The sequence below is a fragment of the Homo sapiens genome, chromosome 16 (genome assembly GCF_000001405.40).
Source record: "Homo sapiens chromosome 16, GRCh38.p14 Primary Assembly".
In the NCBI taxonomy this organism is placed as follows: Eukaryota; Metazoa; Chordata; class Mammalia; order Primates; family Hominidae; genus Homo; species Homo sapiens.
Genome location: NC_000016.10, coordinates 78,157,440 through 78,184,724, shown reverse-complemented (window position 1 = coordinate 78,184,724; position 27,285 = coordinate 78,157,440). Strand labels below are relative to the sequence as shown.

General features: G+C 41.5%; 1 protein-coding gene across 4 annotated transcripts in view, besides 1 other annotated feature; it reads right to left on the bottom strand.

Moving 5' to 3' along the window:
• The window catches only part of WWOX (WW domain containing oxidoreductase), a 1,113,014-nt gene that overhangs the window by 1,027,943 nt on the left and 57,786 nt on the right, over positions 1-27,285 (bottom strand). For all 4 annotated transcript variants that reach the window (NR_120436.3, NM_016373.4, NM_001291997.2 and 1 more), the window contains one exon: positions 20,436-20,542. Coding sequence is in view for 3 of the 4 variants with exons in the window: in NM_016373.4 (NP_057457.1) it covers positions 20,436-20,542 (107 nt within the window). In the remaining variant the exon portion in view is untranslated. The remainder of the gene's footprint in view (positions 1-20,435; positions 20,543-27,285) is intronic.
• Positions 18,867-19,036: an enhancer, noted in NCBI's record as "experimental_46047 CRE fragment used in MPRA reporter constructs". NCBI's record gives its function as "activates a minimal promoter by MPRAs in K562 erythroleukemia cells, with activity observed for the non-introgressed 16:78199671 variant allele {active_cell/tissue: K562}" and the evidence as "EXISTENCE:reporter gene assay evidence [ECO:0000049][PMID:34662402]".

Sequence of the window (27,285 nt, the reverse complement as noted above, 5' to 3'; positions counted from 1 at the left end):
CATTACCGACCATAAAAACTGTAACAGTGGAACTGTGTAAACAAACCGAACAGTGTTTTTACTGTAAAACATGAATGTAATATAAATATTTGTCTTTGCCTTCTCTCAGCATCTGTAATGAGAGCAGAAAATTCATGCCATATGTTTATAGTATAAACGGGGAAAAAATAGATCTCGGTGATTCATCCATGTGGGTGCCGGCTAAGCTGTTTAATATTTTTAATTCATCCATTTTCCTTCACATATAAATCCTCCACAAATCATAAAACGCTTATGATTGTCAGTCACTAAGTTCATGATTATTTCTACACAGGGGTCCTGGCAAAGGTGAATGTGAGCATGATGATAATGAGGTCATTTTCTCTGGCATCATGAGAAAACACCAAGCGAATCGCTACAGTCTGTCCCTTGCCTACCCCAGCCCACCCCATCCCCGTAAATTCAAATATGAAAACACTTCTCCAAACACTTCAAAATCCCTATCCTACCTCTGGCTGAAGTGCCACTGAACATTTGGGACCCTGACAGTTCCTGCTTTTTAAAAATCCTCCTACAGAGAAGCACCGAGCATGTTAAGTGGCTGCGGCTGCTGAGGACCTTCTGATATGGTGGAAGGAAGCATTACCGTGAGCACCGAGGTCTGTGCCAAGCATGGAATCCAGCTTCACACACAGAGAGCAACGGGGGAGGTTTTTATATTGGAGCTGCAATTGAGCCCTTGATGTGAAGTTGCTGAAGCCTGCCCAAAGTGTTTGTGCAGGCTTTTAGGATGCAAGCCGAAAGGCACAGAGAATGATTCAATTTTCTCCAAATTGGCTCACGGACCAGAGGTTTCTGTAAACGGTCACCATCCTACAAAATCCAACACTGCAGCCAGGATGCTTTGTTTGAAAATGACACAAATCTACTCAGGGGAGGCTCTGTGTGGCACTGAGGAGGCCAGTCCCTCGTGGGCACAAGAGTTGTTGATGGGAAGAAGGAAAGGTGGGGGCACCTCAATGAGTTAGAACCCAGGATGTGCAAGGCATGAAGGGGTGGTATTCAGGAGATTTCGGCTCAGTGAGTGGTACTTGGCAGGTGTTACTGAGCATGTGCCACTAACCAGGCACTGTTATCTCATTTAATCCTGACAAGCATCCTACGGTTCGGGGATGCAATACCTCCATTTCTTGTAGGAAGATAGAGAGGCATATGCAGGAACACCTTGTCTGAGATCCACAACACTGCTACAGAACGGCGCAGCCAGGATTCCAACCTCCACCGGGCTGATTCCAAAATCCATGTTCTCAACCACTAACTAGACCACCAAAGTCAAAGAAAACCTTTCACGCTCATAACCAACTGGTCCTATGCCACCCAAAAGTGATGAGAAATACAGGCATTGTATCTGCTCTTGCCCGAATATTCTTGAGCTTGGGCCATAATACAGGCCTTGCTTCCCTCCCCAGCCACACCGCCCCCAACACATACACACATAGACCCCTAGTGGGTGGTAGATATTATTATTACTATTAATTTACGTGTCTGTCTCCACACTTAGGGCAAGGACAACGTCTCGCATACCTATATGTGCTGAGAGTCCAGTGGGACGGCTGGTATAGAATAAAGGATCAAAACATGCTTGTTGACTAAATAAGGAGACCTACAGGCAAACAATCAATGCACTATGTGATCCGTGCTGTCATAGATGCATATTTAAAAACCAAAACTTGGACCATGAGTTCTTGGGAGGAAAAAACCTTTGCTTTCTTTCTTTCTTTTTTTTTTTTTTTTTGAGACAGATTCTCGCTCTGTCACCCAGGCTGAAGTGCAGTGGCGCAATCTCGGCTCACTGCAAGCTCTGCCTCCCAGGTTCATGCCATTCTCCTGCCTCAGCCTCCCAAGCAGCTGGCACTACAGGTACCCGCCACCATGCCCTGCTAATTTTTGTATTTTTAGTAGAGACGGGCTTTCACTTTGTTAGCCAGGATGGTCTCGATCTCCTGACCTCGTGATCCACCCACCTCGGCCTCCCAAAGTGCTGGGATTACAGGCGTGAGCCACCACACCCAGTGAGAACCTTTGCTTTCTTTATCACTGCCATATCACTGGTGCTCAGTGCTCTACCTGACCCAGAGAAGAAGGTTGACAGCGATGTGCTGAACAAAAGAAGGAAGGGAGGGCAGGAGACAGGAAAGAGAAGCCCAGGAAAGCTTTGTGGGAAAGATACCCTTGAACAGAGACTCACAGGATACAGAGGCAGATGTGGGGAGGAAAAGCTTAGCTGAGACCCTTCCAAGCAGAGGACATAGTCTGTGCCAAGATGCAGAGAGACAGGAAGGTTTAGCAACAGCAGTGAGTTTGATATGGTTGGAACAAGAAAGAGAATGGCCAGACAGGAGCCTAGACAGGTAGGCAGAGCCCCAAGCATTTCTTTTCTTTTCTTTGCCAGCACTTGGAAAGCACACGCTAGGTACCACCGCAAGTACTCGGGTACCATCATGAACATTTCACATTAGCACTTCAGTTCATCTTCACAACAATCTTGTGATCCAAATACTGTCATCATCCCCAAGTTACAGATGAGGAAACTGAGGCAATAAGAACAAGTGAAGGTCACATGGTTTTCGCAAGTGGCATAAACCGGATTTGAACTTGGGAAGGCTAAATTCCAGATGCGTTGCTTAGGCCCCCATAACACATTTTACAGCTCAATCCTTTCAGACTGATGACGTTAGCAAGTTTTTGCAGTCCTTCGTAAGTGGAGCCTGGTGCGGAAAAGGAACTCGCGGAGGCTAAAAGAGTCCTTTCCAAGGGCCATCATGTTGATGGGGTGGGCTATTTATTCTCCTTAAATAAAGACCTTCCATACCTCCAGTTTATCCACTTATACATCTAAAATATATACTATCTCTAAAAAAATCTATATTTAATTATACAGCATCAGTGAAATTTCACTCAGGGAACAATAATCCAACATAAATGAATGCTTCCAATAGAAAAAGCTGTAATTTAAAATAAATTCCTGTGTTCCTCAGAAAAAAACAAATTTACTCTCTTTATAGCAAGAAAAAAATATTATCTGGTATTAAGTAACCCCAGTCAATTAGAAAATTTCGTCAATAGCAAAGAACCAAATTACCACCCTAAATTCCTCCTCTCCCAGCGTAGATTTCACTGTGGATCCCAGCCACGGAGTGTGCCACCCGCTCCGGCCTTAGTTTCATTAAGGCTTAAAGTCAATTAAGCCACGAATTGGAACAATCATTCCTCCTTTGCAAAGTATTGATATTTTTTTCCTGGCCGCTTTAGGGGCTTTTCCAGAGCTCACGAAGAGATTTATGTTAGACAATTTCTTTCTGATTAAAACAAATCATAGCTCAACAATTCTAATTTCCTCCTTTCTAAGCAAGAAATGATCAGAGAACACTGAAAACAGTGATCAACACCCCCACACACACACCGTCACCACGATGCAAAGCCCAGCACTAAAAACCTCATAAAAACACCGCTAGACAGGTTCTCTCTCTCTCTCTCCTTCTGTCTCTCTCTGTCTTTCTGTCCCTCCTCCGTGTCTCCACCTCCCCTTCGTGTGTCTGCGTGTCTCTCTTTCTCTGTATGCCTGTCTCTCCTCTGTGTCTTTCTCTTTCAGTATACATTTATCTCGACAGGCTTCAGGACAATTACTTATGAAACAAAAAGGAAGAAGGATATTAGAAGCAAAGCCAACCCAAGCTGGGTTTTCAGCTTTAAGTAGTAGAAAACAAGAAGGTTTTTATACTTACCTCCAAAACCCTACCATCATCTCAGGCCTTTTAATTTTTAAAGCCTTTACTAACTTCGGATCAACCTTCTCTCTCTCGATGACACCCTCAAGCACAGTCCGGACGTCTGCTGGATTTACCCACTAGCACTCATGTATACACCTGCTCTGGGGTGCAGCTGGGTTTACCTGCTAGCCCTAACATATGCCCCCTACTCTCGTGTACAGCTGGATTTACCCACTAGTATTCATGTATACCCCATATCTCAGATGGAGCTGGATTTACCCACTGGCCCTAACATATACCCACAACTCTCCGGTGCGGCTGGGTTTACCCACTAGCCCTAACATATGCCCCAACTGCCAGGTGCAACTGGATTTACCCACAAGCCCTAACATATACCCCTACTCTCAGGTGCAGCTGGGTTTACCCACTAGCCCTAACATATGCCCCTTACTCTCCTGTGCAGCTGGATTTGCCCAATAGCACTCATGTATACCCCATATCTCGGGTGCAGCTGGGTTTACGCACTAGCCCTAACATATACCCCCTACTCTTGGGTGCAGCTGGATTTACCCAGTAGGGCTAACATATGCCCCCAACTCTTGGGTACAGCTGGATTTACCCATATGCCCCCTACTCTCAGGTGCAGCCTTTTAAGCTGTTCATTCTACCTAAAGGCCCAGGTTTCTGTCCCTCAAAATCAAGCTGGATTATGAGTCCACTCTGCATCACAGTCGGCTCCCACTGCTCCAGAATGACCAGGCAAGTTAGAGATTTTCCAAATCAGGATGGGTCATTTTCAAAGAACTGGAATAAAATACGTTTAACATAATAGACTGTAAATAAGGACTCTTTCTTCAACAAGCTACAAGGTAGATGATGAATTGGGGAGACTTCAGTAACATCAACATGAAACCAATTCACACAGCTCAGTACTTAGGAAAACACAACAAGTTATTTGCAACTTCTGCTGGTCTGCTTTCCAAAAACTAACCAGCCGATCTGTCCCCTCCTACAATGGCAGGATTACTGCTGCCCAAGTTATAACTCCCATGGCTCAGCTGTTTTACCCTCTCACTCACTCAGTAAATATTTACCAAATCCCTCCAATTGACCAGGCGCTATGCTACTCACTGGGGTTATACCAAGAGGAACAAGACAAGCAAGGCTTCCACATCCCTATGGTACGCACCTCTGTTGCTGTTTGAACCTAGACATCCCTGTGGCATTTCATCTCTCGGCTGTTTGTTCCCTAAGACTCAGTCTTTCATCTGAAAATAGGATTCATAATATTAGCTATCTCATAGTGTTGTCATAAAGATGAACTGAATTAATGCATTTAAAGTGCTTAGCACTGGAAAACAATGCTAGCTACTACTGTTATTATTATTATTATCATCATCATCACTACCATAAAAATAAGAATTTAATAAGCCATCCAATTAAGCATGAAGCGTTGGGGGCCATATTCCTGTTCTGCAGGCAGAATTAATTATTAACTATAATTAATTAATTGCCTAAGTTACCTTCTGTGGGCCTCAGTTTTCTTGTCTGTCAAGTGGGGAAAGTTAAGTTGGATGATCTCAGAAAGTCCTTTCCAATCTGAGAATGTTACCTTTTCACAACCACAATATACCCAAATGTAATCTGTTAATCCATAACTCTTTCCAGAAGGACAAATGACTTTACTAATTCATACCTCAATTTTTCACCCTATTAGGTTTGCACAAATTTGCTCACATCTTTGCTGTCCCTGCAAAGCAAAGGCTAAAAGTTATATAAAGCCCAATGGATCATACATGACTGAAAGAAACTTGATTTTTAACAGATTCTTTAAAGCACTGCAGAATTATTTCTGTGTTTCTGTCTCCCCAAAAATGTCTATGTTGGCAAGTCTTTGAGGATGCCACAAATGGTGACTCCACCCAGCCACCTGATTATCATCATGAACACCCCTGCCAAGTGCCCTGGCTTCTCCTCCAATGATACAAAATGGTCCACAGCCCCATGTAAACATTTGACCAGCTCTCGGTTATCCGCGTTTACAGACTAAACACGAGGTAAACCATCCCGAAGAGAAAGCAATTCTAAAATGATTACTTTTTTTTTTTTTTTGAGACGGAATCTCGCTCTGTCGCCCAGGCTGGAATGCAGTGGCACCACCTTGGCTCACTGCAACCTCTGCCTCCCAGGTTCAAGGGATTCTCCTGCCTCAGCTTCCTGAGCAGCTGGGATTATAGCCATGCGCCAAGACAACTGGCTAATTTTTGTATTTTTAGTAGACACAGTTTCACCATGTTTGCCAGGCTGGTCTCGAACTCCTAACCTCAAGTGATCCACCCGCCTCGGCCTCCCAAAGTGCTGGGATTACAGGCGTGAGCCACCGCACCTGGCCTGCTATCTATTTTTAAATGTCACTATGCGAATTCCGGGTATGAAAGGATGTGGTCTAGCACTGACATGTATTCCTACTCCTAAAGTGCCCATCACTACCCATAAGAGGAAGAATCCAGAAGGTTCCAGATGGTGGAGGAAATCAGATGAAAGACGCTCTAGAATAAAAGCGTAGCAGCCTGCTTGACAACAAGGTCTGTGGGGCCACAGTGACATTTCCAACTGTCCAATAAACAGAGACAATTTTGGGCTAGAGGCTGGCTGAGCTTTTGCGGGAATGAAAACAGCAACAACTTAAACAGGAAAAGTGCTTAGTAACTGCAGACAGCACAGAAGTGCTGGGACGGGGGACCAGTGAGGTTTGAATCTGCCCTAATCCCCTCTGTACCAAACCCAGCCAGGCCAGGCCACTTGCATGTGGCTGTCTTGCCTGCTCTCCGGGTATAATTATGAAGAGCTCCTCCCTTCACTGTCAGCACTTCCTGATTCAAACAGTAAAGTGTCTCATCACCCTCCTCCTAACACAGGGTTGCAGATAAGTAAACACATGTCTGTTTTCATGGAGTTTCTACAAGTGAGGAATGCTTTCTCTTATAATTTGTTAATGGTCCTCACAACAGGAACTATTGAAAGGGATGATTATTTTTAGCCTTTGAGGCTCCGTGGATGGACGTTAAAGTTCTTCCTTGAATGTCAGGAACTAAGCAAGTCTGTTCAGTCCCCGTCTCGTCCTTTTCTGCTCTTTGCGCCCAGGACCATGGCCAACAGGCCAACAGAGTCTCCAGACCCCGCACTCCCCTCGCTAATTCAGCCCAAATGTCTGTCTATCTCAGTCACTGAGTATGGACTGTATCACCACCACTCAGACTCAGCCAGTGATGGCTGCCAGGACCTAGAGAATAAAGTCTATTCTCCTAAGACTGGAATCCAAGGCCCCGAATGATCTGGCCTCATAGAGGAGCTGCCTGCCCTCTCCCCGACACCACACCCAAGCCTGACATCTCCATTCCCAGGACAAACTACTTACACTCTGTGGATGCTCTTCCTCCAGCTCCAGATGCACCCTTGCCATGGGGGCTGTTCACAGTCCACCAATACTTTCTCCTGCAACCATCCTGCTTTAAAGCACGTGGGGAGACCATCTTTCATGAGTCATGGGAGTATCACTCTTACCACACTACCCAGGCGCTGGCATCGATGACAGTTTAGGGGTATCACCTCATTAGCAAAATCCTTCTAGACTATCTTGTGTCACCCACTCTACCACCTAGCACGTAATAGATGTTGGATAAATTAAAATTGCCCAAAATTTTTAAATTTCAGCCAATTTTTAAAATAGCTTGAAAATTTGGGAGCTACTTGGTAAACTGGGTTGGGAAAACATTTGATTTTCATAAGCAAAGATAAAAATGTGTACCCGCCCTTTTATAAAAGAAAAAGCAAGCTGCATGAGAACTGTTGAGCCATGCTTCTCAACTTCTGCAGATATCAAAATCTCCTGGAGTAACTGCAAACCACAGATGGCTGGGCCCTACCTCCAGAGATTCTTACCTAGTAGGTCTGGGGTGGGGCCCAAGAATTTGCATTTCCAACAAGCTCTCAAGTGACACTGATGCTGCAGGTCAGGGACCATGCTTTGAGTAGCACCATGTACATATCTGCAGCATTAGAGACCACAAAGTTTAATCAATGAAACACCACGGAGACCACTGCAAATGCATCCTATCCTTCCCTGCCTTAAAAATAGCACCCTTCCTGCCCCTTCCTTTTTATTTTTATCTTCTTATTGCTTGCAATTTGATGTAGATTTTAAGCATCCTGTAATTCATCAACTAATTCTCTCCTGGCTACGCATTCCAAGTAATTAAAGTTCAGTAATAACTTATTCTTTCTGCTCCAGCACCTGCATTTCATTTGTTTATTTTCCCAGAGTCATAAATCTGAAGGGCTGTCAAAGTGCCATAATATTAGTGCAATAATCAAAGTTAATTAGTCCCTCTCAATAAACAACAACAAAGCCATTACAAAGATGCATTGAAGTTTCTCCCAGCTACCCGGTTTACAGGACGCATTGTAGTCGGAACAATTAGAATCTGAGAATTGCCGGTAAATAAGTGCATGGTTCCCCTGCCATTTAAAAGAAGACTGTGCTCTTCATTCACACTGATTCATTAACTCCAGGGAAGGCAAGGCAGGTCTTGGCTCCTGAGTCTGCACGCTCTCCAGCTGCCTAGCCTTACCAAGTGCATCCCAAGCTTCAATAATAAAAAGAGGGACAGGGGTTACAAAGAAATGAGTGGGGCCAGTCTCACTGCCAACTTTTAGTATCCCAATATCTTCAATAACTTTGGATTTATTATTTAGGGAATTTGAGAGACGTGAGTTTTAGCTGGGTTCTGATGAGAATGCAGCCAGTGGAACTCGGAGGGCAGGACCAGGGCCGGTGCATAGAAGACGCTCAGAGGAAGATTCTGCCTTCAATATGAGGGAGAACTTACTAATTAAGAGGTGTGCAGAAATGGGATGGGCAGCATGGGGAGAGAGGAACTTATGCCAAAGCGGGGTGATTCCTGATCAGGTATGTTTTAAAAGTGTTGGAGAGAGGTCAAACAAGGTGACCTGGGAGATGGATGCAACCCCGGGAACTTAGGATTCCTTGCACACAGTGGAGCTTCCTGGGTAAGTATACATGTCTTATCCTTAGAACTCACTGTCCAGTCTCTCTTAAGGATCCTTCTCCCCTTGAGGCCATGGATCCTGTGATAGTTATCTACCGCTACATCACAAATTCCCCCAGAGCATAGTGGCTTAAAACAGTAACCATTTGGTATCTTACCATATTTTGTGGGTCAAGGATTCAGAAGTGGCTTAGCTGCTGGGTGGTTCTGACTCAGGATCTCTCATGACATGAATCAGCCAGGGCCTCAGTCATCTGAAGGCTTGACTGGGCTGGAGGATTCCAAGGGGGATCATATACATGGCTGGTGGCCTCAATTCCTTGTTGCATGGGCCTCACCTCAGGTCTGCTTGAGTTTCCTCACAACATGGTGGCTGGTGAGTGATCCAAGAGAGTGAGCAAGAAGAAGCCACGAAGCCTTTAGGACCTACCTCAGGAGTCATACCCGGCCATTTCTGCCAAATTCTATTCATGGAGAGTGAGTCACTAAGTACAGCCCATATTCCAAGAGAGGAGAACTGGCCTCTACTTCTTGAAAGGAGAATTATCAAAGAATTTGTGGACAGACTTTAAAACAATCGCAGCCACTTCTAAGGCTTCCTTTTACAGGGTCTTCAGAACCTTGGGCATAGCTGCATCTTCCACCTAAGGGTCAGGGACTAGCTCCAGATGAACCCCCCTAGGAACACAGGGTAGGCTCTGACACCCCTACTTCTCTCCAGCATTAACTCCAGAACCTGTGGAAGGCCAGCTAGCTCCATACCAGGGCACTGACACTGAAGACATGATAGGCACCTTTCTGCCCTCTACGGATGGAAGGGGCCCCCTGCTCCTTAGCACAGCATACCTTAATGGTTAATAACCTTAGTCAGATTCTTATTATTATTATTATTATTATTATTATTATTACTATTATTTTTGAGACAGAGTCTTGCTCTGTCACCCAGATTGGAGTGCAGTGGCCTGATCTCGGCTCACTGCAACCTCCACCTCCCAGGTTAAAGCAATTCTCCTGCCTCAGCCTCCCCAGTAGCTGGGACTAAAGGCGCATGCCGCCACACCCAGCTAATTTTTGTATTTTCAGTAGAGACGGGGTTTCACCGTATTGCCCAGGCTGGTCGCCAGCTTTTGAGCTCAGGCAATCCGCCCGCCTTGGCCTCCCAAAGTGCTGGGATTACAGGTGTGAGCCACCACACCCGGCCACCTTAGTCAGATTATTAATTGACACATTGGTGGGAAGCTGAGGAAAGAAGTGGCTACTTCCCAGTGCTTTGATCATTTAAAAAAATTAAAAAGACATAGACTTTACAGCTGATGCCGGAATGAGTTAAGATTTTGGGGATATTTGGATGTAATAAATGTATTTAGCATGTCAGAAGAACATGAATTTTGGAGGGCTGGGGTAGAATGCTGTGAATTGAATGTTTGTGTCTGATATGGTTTGGCTGCGCCCCACCGAAATCTCAACTTGAATTATATCTCCCAGGATTCCCACATGTTGTGGGAGGGACCCGGGGGGAGGTAATTGAATCATGGGGGCCGGTCTTTCCCATGCTATTCTCATGATAGTGAATAAGTCTCAAGAGATCTGATGGGTTTATCAGGCAGTTTCTGCTTTTGCTTCTTCCTCATTTTTCTCTTGCTGACACCATATAAGAAGTGCCTTTCGCCTCCTACCATGATTCTGAAGCCTCCCCAGCCATGTGGAACTGTAAGTCCAGTTAAACCTCTTTTTCTTCCCAGTCGTGGGTGTGTCTTTATTAGAAGCATGAAAATGGACTAATACAGTGTCCCTCCAAAATTATTATGGTGAAACCCTAATTGCCCATGTGATGGTAGTTGGAGACAGGGCCTTTCAGAGGTGATTAGATGAGAGTGGAATCCTCATGAAGGGATTAGTGCCCTTACAAGACACATGAGACAGTGCGACCTCTCTCTCTCTCTCTCTCAATTCCTCTCAGCTCTCCACCATATGAGGACACAGCAAGAAACAGGCTACTTAAAAACCAGAAAGAGGGACCTCACTAAGAACTCAACAAGGTTGGCACCCTCGTCTCGGACTTCCAGCCTCTAGAACTGTAAGAATAAATATTTAAGCCACTCATTGTATGATATTTTTGTTATTAGCCCGAAGTAAGACAAAGAAGAAATATTGCTCCAACAAGATTTATGAGTATATTTTACAGATCTGCATTGGACAAGTTAGCTTTCCCTGCAACGACCATTTACTGAATCTTTACTATGTGCCAGAATCTGAGAGTCATATTAGCATCTGCAGGTAAATCAGCCAAGGTTCAAAGAGATGACTAAGGCCAGGCACGATGGCCCATGCCTGTAATCCCAGCACTTTGGGAGACCCAGGCAGGAGGATCGCCTGAGCAGAGGAATTCGAGACTAGCCTGGGCAACGTGGTGAAGCCCTTCCTCTACATTAAAAAAAAAAAAAAAAAAAATTAGCCAGGTGTGGTGGCATAAGCCTGTAGTCCCAGCTACTCAGGAGGCAGAGATGGGAGGATCACTTGAGCCCAGGAGGTCAAGGTTGCAGTGAACCATCATTGTGCCACTGAACACCAGCCTGGGTGACAGAGCAATACCCTATCTCAAAAAAAGAAAAGAGAGAGAGAGATGACCAGATTTGCCCAGGGACACCGAGTGAGTTAGTATTCACACTGGGATTTAACCCCAGATCTGTATGACTCCAAAGCTGGGGCTACCTCTATTCCACTGGGTTGCGTCTGCATATGTAAAAATTAGCTGCATTTTAAATATTTGTCTAAAATAAACCTTAACCTATCGCAGGGCGTGCTGCCCCAGCCTGAGACTGGCTGCTTCATCTACAGTTGTTTCTCTACTTGTCCTTGCGTAGGGAAGTTTTATCACCACAAGGACCGTTTCTCCTCTGTTTAATCTAACACCTGCTAGTCTGAGATTCTCTAAATGTCCCACAATAAATATGAAAAACAGTCTCAGGCATATTTTTCCCCTCTTAAATAATGGAGTCTAAATGCCAAGTGGCCAAAAGCAGGCCTTTCAGCCATTGGCGGCTGAACACTGTCTGAACATGAAATCCGTCTCTTCAAACTATGTCAAAATTGCTTAATAAGAACTCAGGGGACCCCACATTAATGAAAGGATGCATCTGCTTTGGGTTTCACATTATTGGGAGTGATGGTTCAGAGCCAGCCACCTATGCTTGACTTTCACTCTTTAAAACTCTGCAGTTAATCACAGCCCTCATTATACAAAGGTTACATGGATATAAAGTTTGAAAGATTCGGTTCAAGACTGCGAGCGGTGGCCAGGAAAAAAAAAAAAAAGGAGAAGACACAAAGACAATGATCAAAGAACAATGAATAACATTCAAGACTAAGTCGGTGCAAAATTTTCAGAATGAGAAATGAAACGGAAAACTTAGAGGATAAGTACCAAGCACAAGTTTTAGGTATTCTGGAGACAGGAAACTCAGAATATTTTAGCAACCGATTATGTCTATGAGGGGGATGAATAATTTATTATCTGATAAAGAATCTTCCCTGAGCCTGTGACAAGAAAGGTCAAATAGGCAACTGAAGTAGAACAGTAAATACACGATATACTACTCGAAAAGGAAGTCTGGAACGGAAGGCGAAGGAAAGAGCTTCCTTGGCCCATGTTCATCAACTCCCTCAGATTACAAGAAGCGCAGCGGATGTACTTTTTAGGTACCCTCATATTAGGAACCCAGAAGTATTCATACAAATAAATGCAAATAATGTATGAGTACAATACTTGTCTAAGTCCTTGAAAAAGGCCAATCTTCCGGCATCACCCACACACCAGCTGCAAATCTTGGATCCACCCCGTTATCTCCCAGCTGTGTGAGCCTGGGAAAGTCTATGCCTCTTCCAGCCTCTAAACTGCCTCATCTGCACAATGGGTTTCACACATAATATAAATACTTTACTGTTAAATGCTAAGCACAGTACCTAGTACAAAGACAAATAGGAATATCCAACCCCCCACCTGCAGGTGACAATAATAGGACATTTTGCAAACGCCCCAAAGAAGAACTTCAGAACTTTACGTTCCTTTGTGAGCATGCGCTTATTGACTTGAGCAAGTGGCTTATATAGTTCTTGCTGGTTTGCAGACTTGTTTATATCATCCTTTATTTATTGAAAATCCAATACTATACAGAAAAACAATTTGTAAAGCAAAGAAATGAGGAACAAATCTAATGGCTGATTTAGGATGCGCTCTTCCCGGTAATCTACAACTATTAATAATATTAATAGCTTTTATCTTTTTGTTTAGCTACAGATCGTTCAGAACAATGGAGATAAGCCCTGTGACTTGTGATGCGTTGACGAATGATCATCTTTTCCAAGCCAAGTCACCAGCTTAGACAGGCATGAGGCTCGTATTTTACCCGCCCCACATACCACATGCCTCCCCCCAACACATATATCATAAAAGAAGGCCAAGGCCTTCCATCCACAAAGGCAAATCATGGGACTTAAGCTTTTAGTGTCAAAGGAGATTGCATGGAATTCCCACAAACAGTGAAGCTATACCAGCTCATAAAGTCACTGAATTTTAAGGAGCCTAAAAGTAGGTGGAGTTTTGCAGAAGTCTTTAAAAGTGCGAGCAATTTACTCCTCAGCATCCTACCCATCGTTCCTTAATATCATGCCATGAAAACACAGGATGCGGCAGTTTCCCGGCAGGGAAAACAACAACAACAACAAAATGAAAACACAGGTGTCAGTATCTATGAAAAGCACAGCAAAATGTTGAGCCCATGAGCCTAATATAATGGTTGGTACTGAGTGCTCCCTATCTGAAAATAATGTTAAAGTCATTATTTCCGATGCTAATCAATGAGGCTGCAATCACATAATGCTGTCAGTACTATCCCTATCCCTTCACTCCCACAAAATAAATAGACCCGATATCAACTCTATTGAAAACCTGAATCATTACAGCACTTCAGCAGCAAACCGTGTGGTTGCAATCAACTGAGCATGCGCTCTCTCCCTAAAACATGCACATTCCATTACCTCTGGCTAATAAATCTTTTATTTTTACCCCTCATCTCTCTGCTTTCTCAATAATCATTTTGATATAAACCATTGCTTGCTGTTCCTGATGACTAATCCCTTAATCATCTTTCCAAAATATATGCAGAGTGTATTTCTTTGTAAATACAAAAGAAAAAGCAATCACATAAATAGTTAAGATGGCTTTTCAAATGACAGTTGAGTGCTAATATGAGCTACACTGGAAAATACTAATCAACAAACTAAATACACATCCATTAAAATGTAGGAGTCCAGACATATGAAGACAGAAAAAGAATTCATTGCAACTCCACTGAAATCAGGCTGATAAACATCTGCCCTAGAGCTCCTCTTTCAGCCAGTTGGAGAGGTTAAGAAAAGTAAGCATCACTTTGCACTTTCATGCGTGAAGAAAATATTATTATTGTTGTTATTAATAGCAGCAGCTAACATTTAATTGAGCACTTAATTTATTCCACAATGGGTTAAGACTTTATATACACAGAGTTGATGTGTTTAATAGAACCACCTGTATCTCTGAATAGAGATATTATGATGTGCATTTTACAGATGAAGAAACTGAGGTTTAAAGAAGTTAAGAAACTTGCCCAAGGTCATAAGATGTATCTGATTCTAATCTTTGCCACTATAATACAGCATGTTTTATAGCCGTGGTTATGAACTGGGGACGATTTGCACCCCCAAGAGACATCTGGCAATGCCTGGAGACATTTTGGTTGCCACAAACATACTTGGGTCACCCCTCCCATATGAGAGGGTAATAGACTCAAGACACATTCTGGGAAGTCAGGGGTGAGTCAAATAGTAACTCTAAGGGAGAGCCACCTGCCCCTCTTCCCATACCAGCCCTCTCTGACCAACCTGTGGCCATCTCAATGTCCAGCAGATGCTGATGTTTCACAACACTTATTGGGCCCCTCGCTATACTAATGGCCAGTCCCCAACAGAAGCTCTTCTGCACTCTCTGTTAAACAGATCTAGTGAGGGCCTGGCAGGCATGAGGAACATTGGTTACTCATAACAATCCCTCTCCTCTCTCTCAATCCACCGCCCCTGCCTCCCAGCCTCAGCCTCATCCCTTTTCCTCCTGCAAACAACGTAGGGAGATGGATGACATCAGGTCCATCTGCTCCCACTCTACCCTACCTCCTTCTTCCACAGGACCAGAGTTTTAGATCCCAAGTTCCGGGGATCTAAAATTTAGAAACTAAAATTTAGAAATCTAATAGAAACAGAAGAAGGAGGAACTCAGAGCCCCACTGGGGTCTTTCAAGAGCTCTACACTGGAATGTCGAGGTCTTGCTGTAGCTGTTCATGAAGTATGTTTTGATACCTAATAAGCTCTTGTTCTTTACATGCAGAGGTCCTGAGATCTCAGAGGTCCTGAGATCTCAAGACAGGGAGTGGGATATGCCAGACCCCGAGAAATAAAGCAACAGAAGCCCAACTCCAATAGATACTGGGTAAAGGAAAGAATAAACCATGGTAATGCAGGACTCAGACACACCTATCGTTGTCCCAGACTTAGAGAACTCACATGGATTCCTAACACATAGACACTGCTGTTAAATAAAAGAGAGTCCACTGCATCTTGAAAACAGGAAAACATCTTATTCCACCAGCCACACTGGCCTCTTGGAATACACAGGAAAACGATAGGTGCTTGTCTTAAGAGGTGAGGGCACCAGTGTATAATTCACATAAGGATGTGAATGAGGTAGATCACATCTGTGTGCTGTTCCACAACATAGGAACAAGCCCCACTGCCCCGTTTTCTTTATTTAAATATGAATGGGGGCTGATGTGCCTCCATCTCCTCCCTCTTTTTTTAATTATGCCAAATGGATTGGCCTTTTAAGACAGTGGTTTACTTCTGTACTGTCCATGTTATCCTGTTTTAATTGTTTTCATTTTTTCTCTTCTAACTTTGGAGCATCTAAAACATCTCAGCAGGAGGGCATTTTCCCATGAAATAATTAGTAGTCATAGTAATTACATATAGGTTCTTAATATACTTCTATATGGAATGTGTTTTCACTTAAGTTGTATTTTATTAAATAGCTCCTTCTTCCCAAAAGTAATTTGAGAGCTCTATAAAGGATATCTTGAATATAAAGAGACGACAGGGTAGATCAGAGTGGCTTCCTCTAAGAAATAGGATGGATCCTGAAATTAATCACTCAAACCGCAGCTAGAGAGTTTGAAAGCAAAATCTGCAAAGTATGAACATTGATACTAAACATGGTAAAAAGATGGGCCATGGGGTGGAGCAGACAGACTTGGAGTTTGGAAGCCAGATGGACCAAGCAAGGAGCCTGACTCTGAGCTCACCAGCTGTGCAATTCGGGTGAGTTCCTTCACCCTTCTGAGCCATCCCTTGGCTCGTCTGGAAAATGCAAAAAAAAAAAAAAGAAAAACACCAGGTTTTTGCATCCTCCTGGATGAGGGATATAAAGTGCCTGACACAGCATATGACAGGGATTTGATAAATGGGGGCTGTTAGCTGTCCCATTGTGGATGTGAGAATAGCATTCTGCTGGCTAAAAGGCAGACATGAATGTTCTAGAACATGGCGATCCCGGAATGTGCAGTGAAGGCAGGAAGAGGAAGAATGGGCAGGGAAGAACAAGTTGGGATGGAGGAATGAACTCTTATCTCCAGAAGCAGAGCTAAGAATGCCCACGGAGCCTTGGCACATGACAGCCTCCGCTGAGCCAAATGGCCCAAAGACTTCTGAATGAGCTTTTGCTGCAACAAAAAACTTTGGATCATTTTGAGAGCCTCCCGTGAGGCGCCAATATGTTGCAGTACCTTCCCGGCCCCGACACTGATGTGATTCATCGTAGGTAACATATGAATACGCTCAAGCTGGCCAGCAGCTTGAAAAATTGGAGTCTATCAAATTGACCTTGAGAAACACAGGAAGGTAATATTTAGTGACATACCAGATGAAATCCTTGCGCAGAGATGTGAGGTGAGGAAGGACCTGAAGGGAAGTAGACCAGCAAATATCAAGGGTCAAGGAGTTGGGGGATGATATAGAGACGAAGCCTAACAGATGTCACCAGAGCAAGAAGGCCTTACGACTTCACATCCTCTCTGCAGGGTATGAATGGTGCAATGGAATGAAATGGTAACTACAGCTTCTGGTGCAAAATTTGAGTTTCCATAATCATCATCTTGGGAAAATGAGGAACACAATATAATGGCATACAGAGAGAACAAGTGAAAAGATGAGAGATGATGAACAGGTTGAGTTTCTTCAGCCTACAACCTATCAAATCTAATTTTAAACATCTGGAGCCACGTGTATTAGTTTTGTTTCTGTTCCATTTTCCTTTTTCTGTGTCCCCGACGGTGAATGATTCTGAATAATTCTTAGTCTGGGATCACTGGTCTATCTCAAGGTACTACATGTTAGAGTAAAACTATAAAACAGCAAATTCTATCATCGGAAATTGACTCACAGGGACCCAATTAAGGCTCAAAATATAAGAAAGAAAGACTGAACAGTGGGTCTTTGACATCATCCATCCAACCTTTTTCCTTAAAGATGAGGAAACAGGCTCCAAATAGATCCAGAGGCTTACCCAAGGTCTCATCGCTAATTGGGGCAGGTCCAGGAATTTCTGCTCTAAGCATCAAACAATAATTAAAATAGGATAAATGCAGATGAATGTGTTCTCATATATATTGTGTTCTCAGAAAAGAAGAGGATAAATTTAATGATGCAAAAACAGTTGTGCTACAGCATTATCTTCCAAGACTGGTTTAAACATGAATGTCACTGTACAATCAGGTTACCATAGTGTCACTAGCGTCCCTGGAATTTTACCTTTCTAGTTTCAAATATTACATCAAATAGGCAGAGTTTTACAATTTTGACACGCCCTCCTGCTAGTCCCAAGAACACTGCAAGCCCTCAGCAGTTGTCTGTCTACACTGTCAGTGGGAATGGAAATTGGAGCAACAAGATAAGAAATGACTCGGGAGGTCGGGCACGGTGGCTCATGCCTGTAATCCCAGCACTTTGGGAGGCCTAGGTGTGTAGATCATGAGATCAGGAGGTCGAGACTATCCCGGCCAACATGGTGAAACTCCGTCTGTATTAAAAATACAAAAATTAGCTGGGCATGGTGACGCGTGCCTGTAGTCCCGGCTACTCGGGAGGCTGAGGCAGAAGAATTGCTTGAACGCAGGAGGTGAAAGTTGCAGTGAGTCGAGATTGTGCCACTGCACTCCAGCCTGGTGACAGAGTGAAACTCAGTCTCAAAAAAAAAATAAAAAAGAAAAAGAAAAAAAAGAAAAAAGAAAATGACTCGGGAACTGTTACCAAAATTTTAAATGCATATGCCCTTTGAATCAAGGAGTCCAGTGCTAAGATTCTGCCCCAGGCATTTACTCACAAATACGTAAATAAAGAATGCTCACAGCAGCATAGTTTAGGCCCAATATCAGATGATATCGTAAGAAAGACTGATGCAAGAAAGAGAGAACTGTGAAACACCATTGCTTGGAATAACAAATAGCAAAACAATGCAAACAACCTAAATGGCCACCAAAGGGAAGACTGGTTATAGCATAAGCACATGATGGAATATTATACAGCAGTTAAAACAATGAAGTAGATCTATATGCACTAATAAGAGATCTCCTGCAGTACTAAGTTTAAAAAAAAAAAAAGTACAGAACAGAATGTGAGTGTGTTTGCTGGTATATAGATAACCTTTTTCTGGAAGAATACATAATGTTTATCTTCCAAGAGAAGGACCAAGAACGACTTTCACATTTCATTTTTCACCTTCCCATTCTGCGTGTAGATTCAAATAAGATGCACGTATTCCCATTTGTACTCTTCTCAATACATCCCTAAAAATTGCTACTATCCCACCTACTAGAGGTTACTACTTTTTAACATTAGTCAGAAAGACAATAAAATGATCAGAAAAAGTAAGACTCTGTTTTCTTTTTTATTTAACCCAAAATAATAAGCTCAGTGAGCTCAAGATAAGGGCTCATTTCAAATATACTGAATTTCAAATATTTCATCATAAATACACTGAAAAAGCAGAAATAAATCTTCCTTTTCTTTATTTTCACTACTTTTCAGTCCAGAGTACCAAAAATTTTCTTAAGTACACTGTAGTCTATTTCTTCAAATGGCAAGAAATCTTTCACAGCATTCAAAAATGAAGACGGCCTCCACAGGGTGTACCCAGCCCCCTTCAGGCTCTGCTCCCAAACACGCTGCTCTATCTCCTCCTCCCCCTCCTCCCAGGGCCTCTGCACCTGCCATTCCCCTACCCCATCTGACCCTTCTCCACCCTCTTCAGGTCTTTCTTCAGATCTTAGTTCAATCACTTCTTCCTTGGGGACCCCAAAGGTCTCCCAACTCCCTGGCATCATTACTGATTCCTAGGACCACTCACTGCTTTTTCAAGTTTACATTAAGATCTGTGTTTTTTGACTAAATTTGTCTTCCACAATAGGCTGAAAGCTCTACAAAGACAGTGGCAACGTCTGTTGTCCTTAACAGTAGACCCCAGCACCCATCACAGAGGTGCACTTCATGAATATGTGAATGAATGAAAAGTGAATGAATGCAGTCTGGACTTCATTCTGAAATCCAGCGATGTTTCAAAAATCAAACAGCTCGCATCACTCTCTAGCTCAAACCCTCTAATGTCTTCCTCACCGCTATCTCAGAGTCTACCAGATACCCATCCCCCAACAGCACCTCTCCTACCCACTCCATTCATCTCCAGCCACACTAGCTTCCCTGATGATCCTTGAAATCTCCAGGCTTGTGCCTACCTCTGAGCCTTAGCATATGCTCTTCTCACTGCTAAGAGAATACTTCTCTTGACATCTGCATGGCTTACCCCTACTTCATTCAGGTCTCAGATCAAATGTCACAACTTTGGAAGGCTCCCTGCTGATGACTCCATCACACTCACGCTATCATTCCCCCCACCTTCCTCTGCTTTACAGTCCTTTATTTACTGACATTATGGCAAATATTAAACTTGATTATGGTCTATTTTTCCTACCTAGAAGGTAAGCCTATGAGGGCAGGGATTCTGTTTCGTTTAATACTATATCCTTGGTCCCAAGACTAAGGCAAGCCCTTAGTAAATATTTATGTAGACACGTATCAACATCAACTTCTACATAGACAGAGAAAAGTAAGAAATTAGAGATAGGGTTAAAGCCTCCTTCTTTCTAATCTTAACAACCATAAGCATAACAGTCTCCTAGTTGCAATCATGGGCGTTCACCACGTTTTATTTTTCTTAATAAATGAGTTAAAGGAAGAAACATTCTCAAACCCCTGACTAATAAAGCAGATGACACTGACAATGAACTACAAACAAATGCGTGAATAATAATGGACTTGCTCATGCTTTCATTCATAAGACAAACAAAGTGAAGATGACTTTAAAAATAAAGACATGATTCCAAGAGCAATAAACTTTACACACTCCACTGAAATCTCCATATGGTTAGCCCGGCATGTGTATTTGACAATTAAAAAAAACAACAACAGTCAAGCACTTACCCATTCTTCTAAAATGCGTGACACTGCTTCACTCGCCCTTGCCATGTTCCTGCAGGCCAAGATCACATGTGCACCATGGAGGGCAAAAGACTTGGCGGTTTCGAACCCTATGGTTTAAAGGAAAGTCAATGTTAGAAAACATAACATCAACACAGTGAGTCATGTTGAATGGCCTTTACCGGAGCACCACTTAAATTACCCCAAGTTCTCAACCAGGGGTGATTTTGATCCCCAGGGGACAGAAGCAAATGTCTGGAGACATTTTCAGTGGCCACAGTTGTGGGGTAGAGTCCTACTGGCATCTAGTGGGTAAACACCAGGCATTACAAAACATCTTACCATGAACAGGGCAGCCCCTGACAACATAGAACCATCTGGCCCGGACTGTCAACACTGTGATGGTGAGAAAACTTGTCCTAGGGATGCAGTGATTTCAAAGATGAAGACTGGGACATAGAAGAGTTCACGGCATGTCCAGCCATTTAACCATCAATAATGACCAGATCCTGTGCCCACGATAAGGACTTTATGCTCTACTCTATGGTAAGTGTCGCCAGCACCTCTGCTTCTACCAGTGTTACCTAGGTTTCTTAGCCCCATTTCCTACTGAGAACAATTAGAAAAGATGGACAAAATAACACACGTGCATACACACCCATATCTGTTTGAAGGCATCAGAAGGGCACTATGACTAAGAATTTTGGGGGCCAAGATCTGCAAAAACTGCAAGGCCAGCATTTGGCAGCTTTTTTCCTTCAAGGCATATTTCATTTCCAAACATAGTGGTTGGAAGCCTGAGAAGATGGGCTGAGCTTTTGGCAATTTTATAACAAGGAAAAAGACATAAATTTGAGCTCAGGACCCACCAGGAAAGGGCCACGGTAAACACACCAAACCTTGGGTCGGGATCCTAAAGAGTTATACCCTCGCTGTAATAACAAGAGACAGTCCAGCCTTCACAAGAGTGGAAACTCAGCTTCAGGCCATTTCAATTCCTAGTTTGATTAAAGTGATCAGTCCCTATCTATCCAATTTCCAGAAGCAAGAGAAAATGTTCTCTGGAGGAAGATACCATTATCTAGAGTCTCAAATTACCACTATGATTATTTCAAATACTCATATAAACTCTCAGACATTCAAACAAAATAGCTAAGCATACAAAAAGAAAAAACTTCACCAAAAGCCAGAGGGGAACAAATGGAAATAAATGCACAGGAGATCTGTCTAATCAAGTTATTCAGAAACAGTGATTAAAATAAGTCTGACTGACAAATTCAAGGAACAAAAAGGCAAGATGGAGAATTTTGCCAGGGAATTAGAAACAATAAAAAAATTCAAATAGATATTCTGAAACTTAAACAAAATAAGAGTAATAAGAGTAAAGAAGAATTCAGCATATAGTTTAACAGAATACAAGACACAGCTGACGACAAGATTGAGGAAACTACAAAATAAGTTAACAAAAAAATCCAAAGTGAAGCATAAAAAGAAAAAAATAACACAATAAAACAAAGCACAAAAGAGACATATGAAACACATTCTCCCAGGCTCTTACACATACATGTAATCTGAGTTCCAAAACAAGTGAAATAGACTAAGAAAAGCAATATTTAAAGACAGAATGGCTGATAATGTTACAAAATCAATGACGCATACACGGCCAAAAAAAGAAGTATCCTGAGCCATAAGCAGAAATATGTATGTGTATGTGTTGACATGTATATGTATAAATGTGTGTGTCTACATGTATGTGTGTGTGTGTATATATATATGTGCAAGCTACAAGCAGAAATGTACGTTTGTATATATATATATATTTATGTCTGTGTGAGCCGCAAACAGAAATATATATGTGAGTGTGTATCTGTATGTGTGTATGTGTGTGTAGATACACATATATACACATACATGTCAAAGCAAGGCACATCAGAGTAAAACTGCTAAAAACTGCAGATAGTTTTAGAAGTAGTTAGAGACCAGTAGCTACAAGACTGATAGTTATACCTCTCAGGAAAATGATGGAAGCCACAGCTGAAAAAAAATAAAACTTTCATCTTAGAATTCTATACCTAGTGAAAATATTTTTGAAAAATAAAGGCAGAGAACAAAAATTTTAAGCAAACGAAAGCTGCTTTTTGTTTGTCACCTACACTACACCTAGTGTCACGTATAGACCCACACTAGAGGAAACACTAAAGGATGCTCTTCAGGCAGGAGGAAAATGACCTTAGCTATAAACCCAGAGATGCAGAAAGTAACAAAGAGCAACATAAAGGGTAACGACATGTTAAGATCCAAATGGTAAGAGTGAAATCTGTGAGTTTTAAAATATATAGCAAAAATTACTATATCAATAATAATAACAATGCTTAACCTAGGAGGTGAGTAATGGAAGCAAAGTATCCTAAGGTTCTTGTCTTCTCCAGGAAGTGATATAATACTGATTTATATTAGATTTTAATAAGTCAAAGATGCAAGATGTAAATCTCTACAAATTTAAAAAGCTAATGGAGAAGAAAAGCAGAATGATAAAAAGGCAAGAAAGGAGAGAAGATGACTAGGTACAGTGGCCTGTAATTCTAGCACCGTGGGCGGCCAAAGCATGAGGATCACTTGTGACCAGCTTGGGCAACATAGCAAAACTCTGTCTCTACAAAAATTAAAATTAAAAAAGAAATAGCCAGGTGTGGTGGCAGGTACCGGTAGTCCCAGCTACTCAGAAGGCTGATGTCGAGGGATTGCCTGAGTCCAAGAGTTCAAGGGCACAGTCAGCTATGATTATGCCACTGCACTCCAGCCAGAGTGACAGAGCAAGGCCCTGTCTCAATTTAAATGGAAGAAAGAAAGGAAAGAGAAAGAAAGAGAGAGAGAGAGAGAAAGGAAAAAGGAAAAGAAAAAAGAGAAAGAAAGGATAGAAATAAGGGAAAGAGGAATATAGAATAACTTAACAGGAAGCCAATAATAAGGTGGTATATTTAAACCCAAACTCAAATATATCTGTCATTACATTAAATATAAATGGCCTAAAGATGGCAATTAAAAGAAAAAGTTTGTCAGACTGAAGAAAACATAAATATACATATACTGTCCTTAAAAAAGAATGTACATTATGTTTTATACCTTATTTAAACATAAGCATAAAAAAAGTAAAAGAATAGAAAAGGTATACTGTATAACACGGGCCAAAAGAAATCTGATATAGCTGTACTAATTTCAGAAAAAAAAGACTCTAAAGCAAGAAGCATTACAAGAGAAAGTGCTGAATATTTCACAATGGTAAATTTCAATCCACCAAGAATACATGACAATTCTAAATTTATATGTACTTAATAATAGAGCCTCTCATATATGTCAAAAATTGACAGAATTAGGACAATAAATAGACAAATTCACAATTATAATGGAAGATTTTAACATATCCCTCTTAGTAACAGATAAAATAAGCAGACAAACACAAAGTATATAGAAGACTTGAACAACTTAATTGATAAACTGAAAATAATTGAATATGATAAACACTGAAAGCAACAGCAAAATATACTCAAGTACTTCAAGAATACTTACCAAAACTGATGATTTGCAGGGGCAAAAGCAAGTCTCAATGAATTTCAAAAGATTAAAATTAGAAAGTATGCTCTTTGACCGCAATGGAATTAAATTACAAATCAATAACAAGATCCCAGAAAATTCTCATTTCTGGAAATATATGTATAAATAAATAAGACATTATGGCTCAAAAAATTACAATGAAAGTTAGAAATATTTTAAACTCGGTAATTACAAACACATATACAAACTTAAGGAGTATAGCTAAAGCCATGGTTAAAAGAAAATCTATAGCCTTAACTACATATATTAAAAAGAAGACCAGGCACAGTGGCTCATGGCTGTAATCCCAGGAATCGGGGTGGCCGAGGCGGGTGGATCGCTTGAGCCCAAGAGTTCGAGACCAGCCTGGGCAACATGGCAAAATTCCATCTCTACAAAAAATTAGTTGGGCGTGGTGGTGCACACCTGTGGTCCCAGCTACTCAGGAGGATGATCATGCCACTTCACTCCAGCCTGGGTGACAGAGTGAGATCTTGCTCCAAAAAAAAAGAAAGAAAGAAAAAATGATGATCTAAGCATCCAAGATGATCTAAGCATCCATTACATTAGGAAAATAACCCAGCAAATTAAGCCTAAAGAAAGCAGAACGATGGAAATAAAAGGAGAAAGGAGAAACTTATAAATCTAAAACAAACATAAAATACAGAGAAAAAAAGAAGCTAAAAGTCTGTCAATTGAAAAAACTAATAAAATTGATAAAGGGCTAGCAAGAATGACAGAGAGAGAGACAGAGACAGAAAGAGAGGGCTTGAACAACCAATATCAGGGATGAATAAAAGGACAACATTATGCCACATAAAAGCATAAGCAACAAAAGCAAAACTAGACAAGTGAGGTTACGTAAAACTAAAAAGCTTCTGCACGTTAAAGAAAACAATCAAGACACTGAAAGGGCAAGCTACAAAATAGTAAAAAATACTTGCAAACCTCATAACTGATAGTGTTCATATCCAAAATATATAAGGAACTCCTAAAACCCAATAGCAAAAAAAAAAAAAAAAAAAAAAACCACAGATTTTAAAAACAAGCAAAGGAACCAAATAGACAATTCTCCAAAGAAAACATACAAATAGCCAAGTGTATGAAAAGGGGCTCACTGTCACTAATTCTCAGGAAAATGCAAATTGAAACCACAGTGAGATGTCACCTCACACCTCTTAAGGTGGTTCTCATCATAAAATGAAAGATAACAAGTGTGGTTCAGGGTGTGGAAACAAGAGCCCCCTTATGCGTGAGAAACTTACATTCCTTAGTGGAATGTAAATTGGTGCAACCATTATGAAAAACAGTATGGAGGTTCCTCAAAAAACGAAACAAGAATTAAAAATTGCTGGATTATGATCCAGCAATCCTACTTCTGGATACATATCCAAAGGAACTCAAATCAGGATCACAACAATATGTCTGCCCTCTCATGTTCACTGCAGCATTATTCATACTAGCCAAGACATGGAAGCAGCCTAAATTTCTACTGATGAATGAATGGATAAAGGAAATGTGGAAGACACACACACAAACACACACACACACAAACACACACAATGGAATATTATTCAGCCTTAGGAATGAAGGAAATTCTGCTATTTGCAACAACATGGATGAACCTGAAGGACATTATGCTAAGTGAAATAAGCCAGACACAGAAGGACAAATACTACATGATACAATTTATATGAGGAATCTAAGACACTCAAACTCATAGAGGCAAAAAATAGAATGGTGTAGGCAAAGGGCTGAGGGGAGAGAGAAACAAGGAGGTATTAGCCAAAGGGTATGAAGTTTCAGGTACGCCAGATGGAAAAGCCCTAGAGATCTACCATATAGTACTGTGCTCATATTGTATCATGTACTTATAAAATATAATGGTTTCACAGGTATATACTTATCTCCAAACTTATCAAGTTCTATACATCAAATACGTAAGGCTTTTTGTACATCAATCATACCTCAATAAAGTTGTTTTTAAAAATGAAAAATAAAGAAAAGGACTACAGATCCTATGAACCCAAAGAAGATCTTAAGATATGGTGAACAACTTTATACCAATGAATTTACAATACAGGTAAAAAAGACAAATTCCTAGAAAAACACTACAAAAAAAGTTGCCACAAGAAGAAATGGAAAACTGAAAAAGTTCTGTATATTTAAAAAATATGAATCTATATTTTAAAGTCATCTCAAAAAAGGGGAAAGGAGAGGAGGGGAGGGGAGGGAGGGAGGAAAAAGAAGAGGCAGTCTAATCCAGAGCTTGAACACCAACCCATTGCTCTAAACTAAAAAATACCATATTTTGTAATCTGTGGTGGAAGACCCTATAGAGTACAGTACAATAACAAAGTAGTCAATTCTACTAGAGAAGGCAGCTATGCAATTCAGCCAAACCCATGTCAAATGGCCATAAATTATTGTTTACAAGATAATGTTAATATGCACGCAAAATCAGCATACCGTTATCTTCCTGACATCACCATGTGAAAGAGCCTAGTAAAGTTCATTCATTCATATCACTCCCACAGGCCTAATCTTCATAGAAAACAGTCTATTTATACAGAATACTTCTCAAGGAAAATCAGCATAGCACAGAGGAAAACTCAAGTTGGACACACTTGTGTTGCTGCCAGTTCTAAGCACGTACAAGCTGTGGGATCTAAGGTCACGCCTTGAACCCATGTGAAACTCAGTTATCGTTTCTGTAAAATGGGGAATAAGTGGTAAACATATATTGAGAGCCTAACATAATCATAGTAGGTGGAAAACAAATGTTAGTTGCCTGCTTTTTGCAAAATCCTTGGTGTCCTATGCCTCTTACCCAATTCGTACGACCTACCAAATCCAGCACAGTCACTATGACTAAAAAATTAAAACTTGCTCCTAGATGTGCTACCAATGGTAACCCGAGGGCTGAATGACTTTAATACCAACCAGAATTCAAAGAAATCAACCTCGGGCTCCACCATTCCGTTTGTCTGAATATGGACTCTGGAGCACAATTTAACCTCATTGCTGAGACAACCTGAAATTATTTCTTGAGATTTTGCCAAATCCCATATTCCAAAATACTTACTTATTACCTAAAGATGACCTCTGATACTTAAATCAGATGCTGAAATAATGCACAAAGGATTTCAAACCTGAAGTATTTAACACCTAAATCCATTTGACTCCCCTTGGGTGTGTGGGTAGTAAAAGGTTTTTGAAGCTGTATCTCCAACCTTTAAAGCAAGACGACAATAATCTCAAA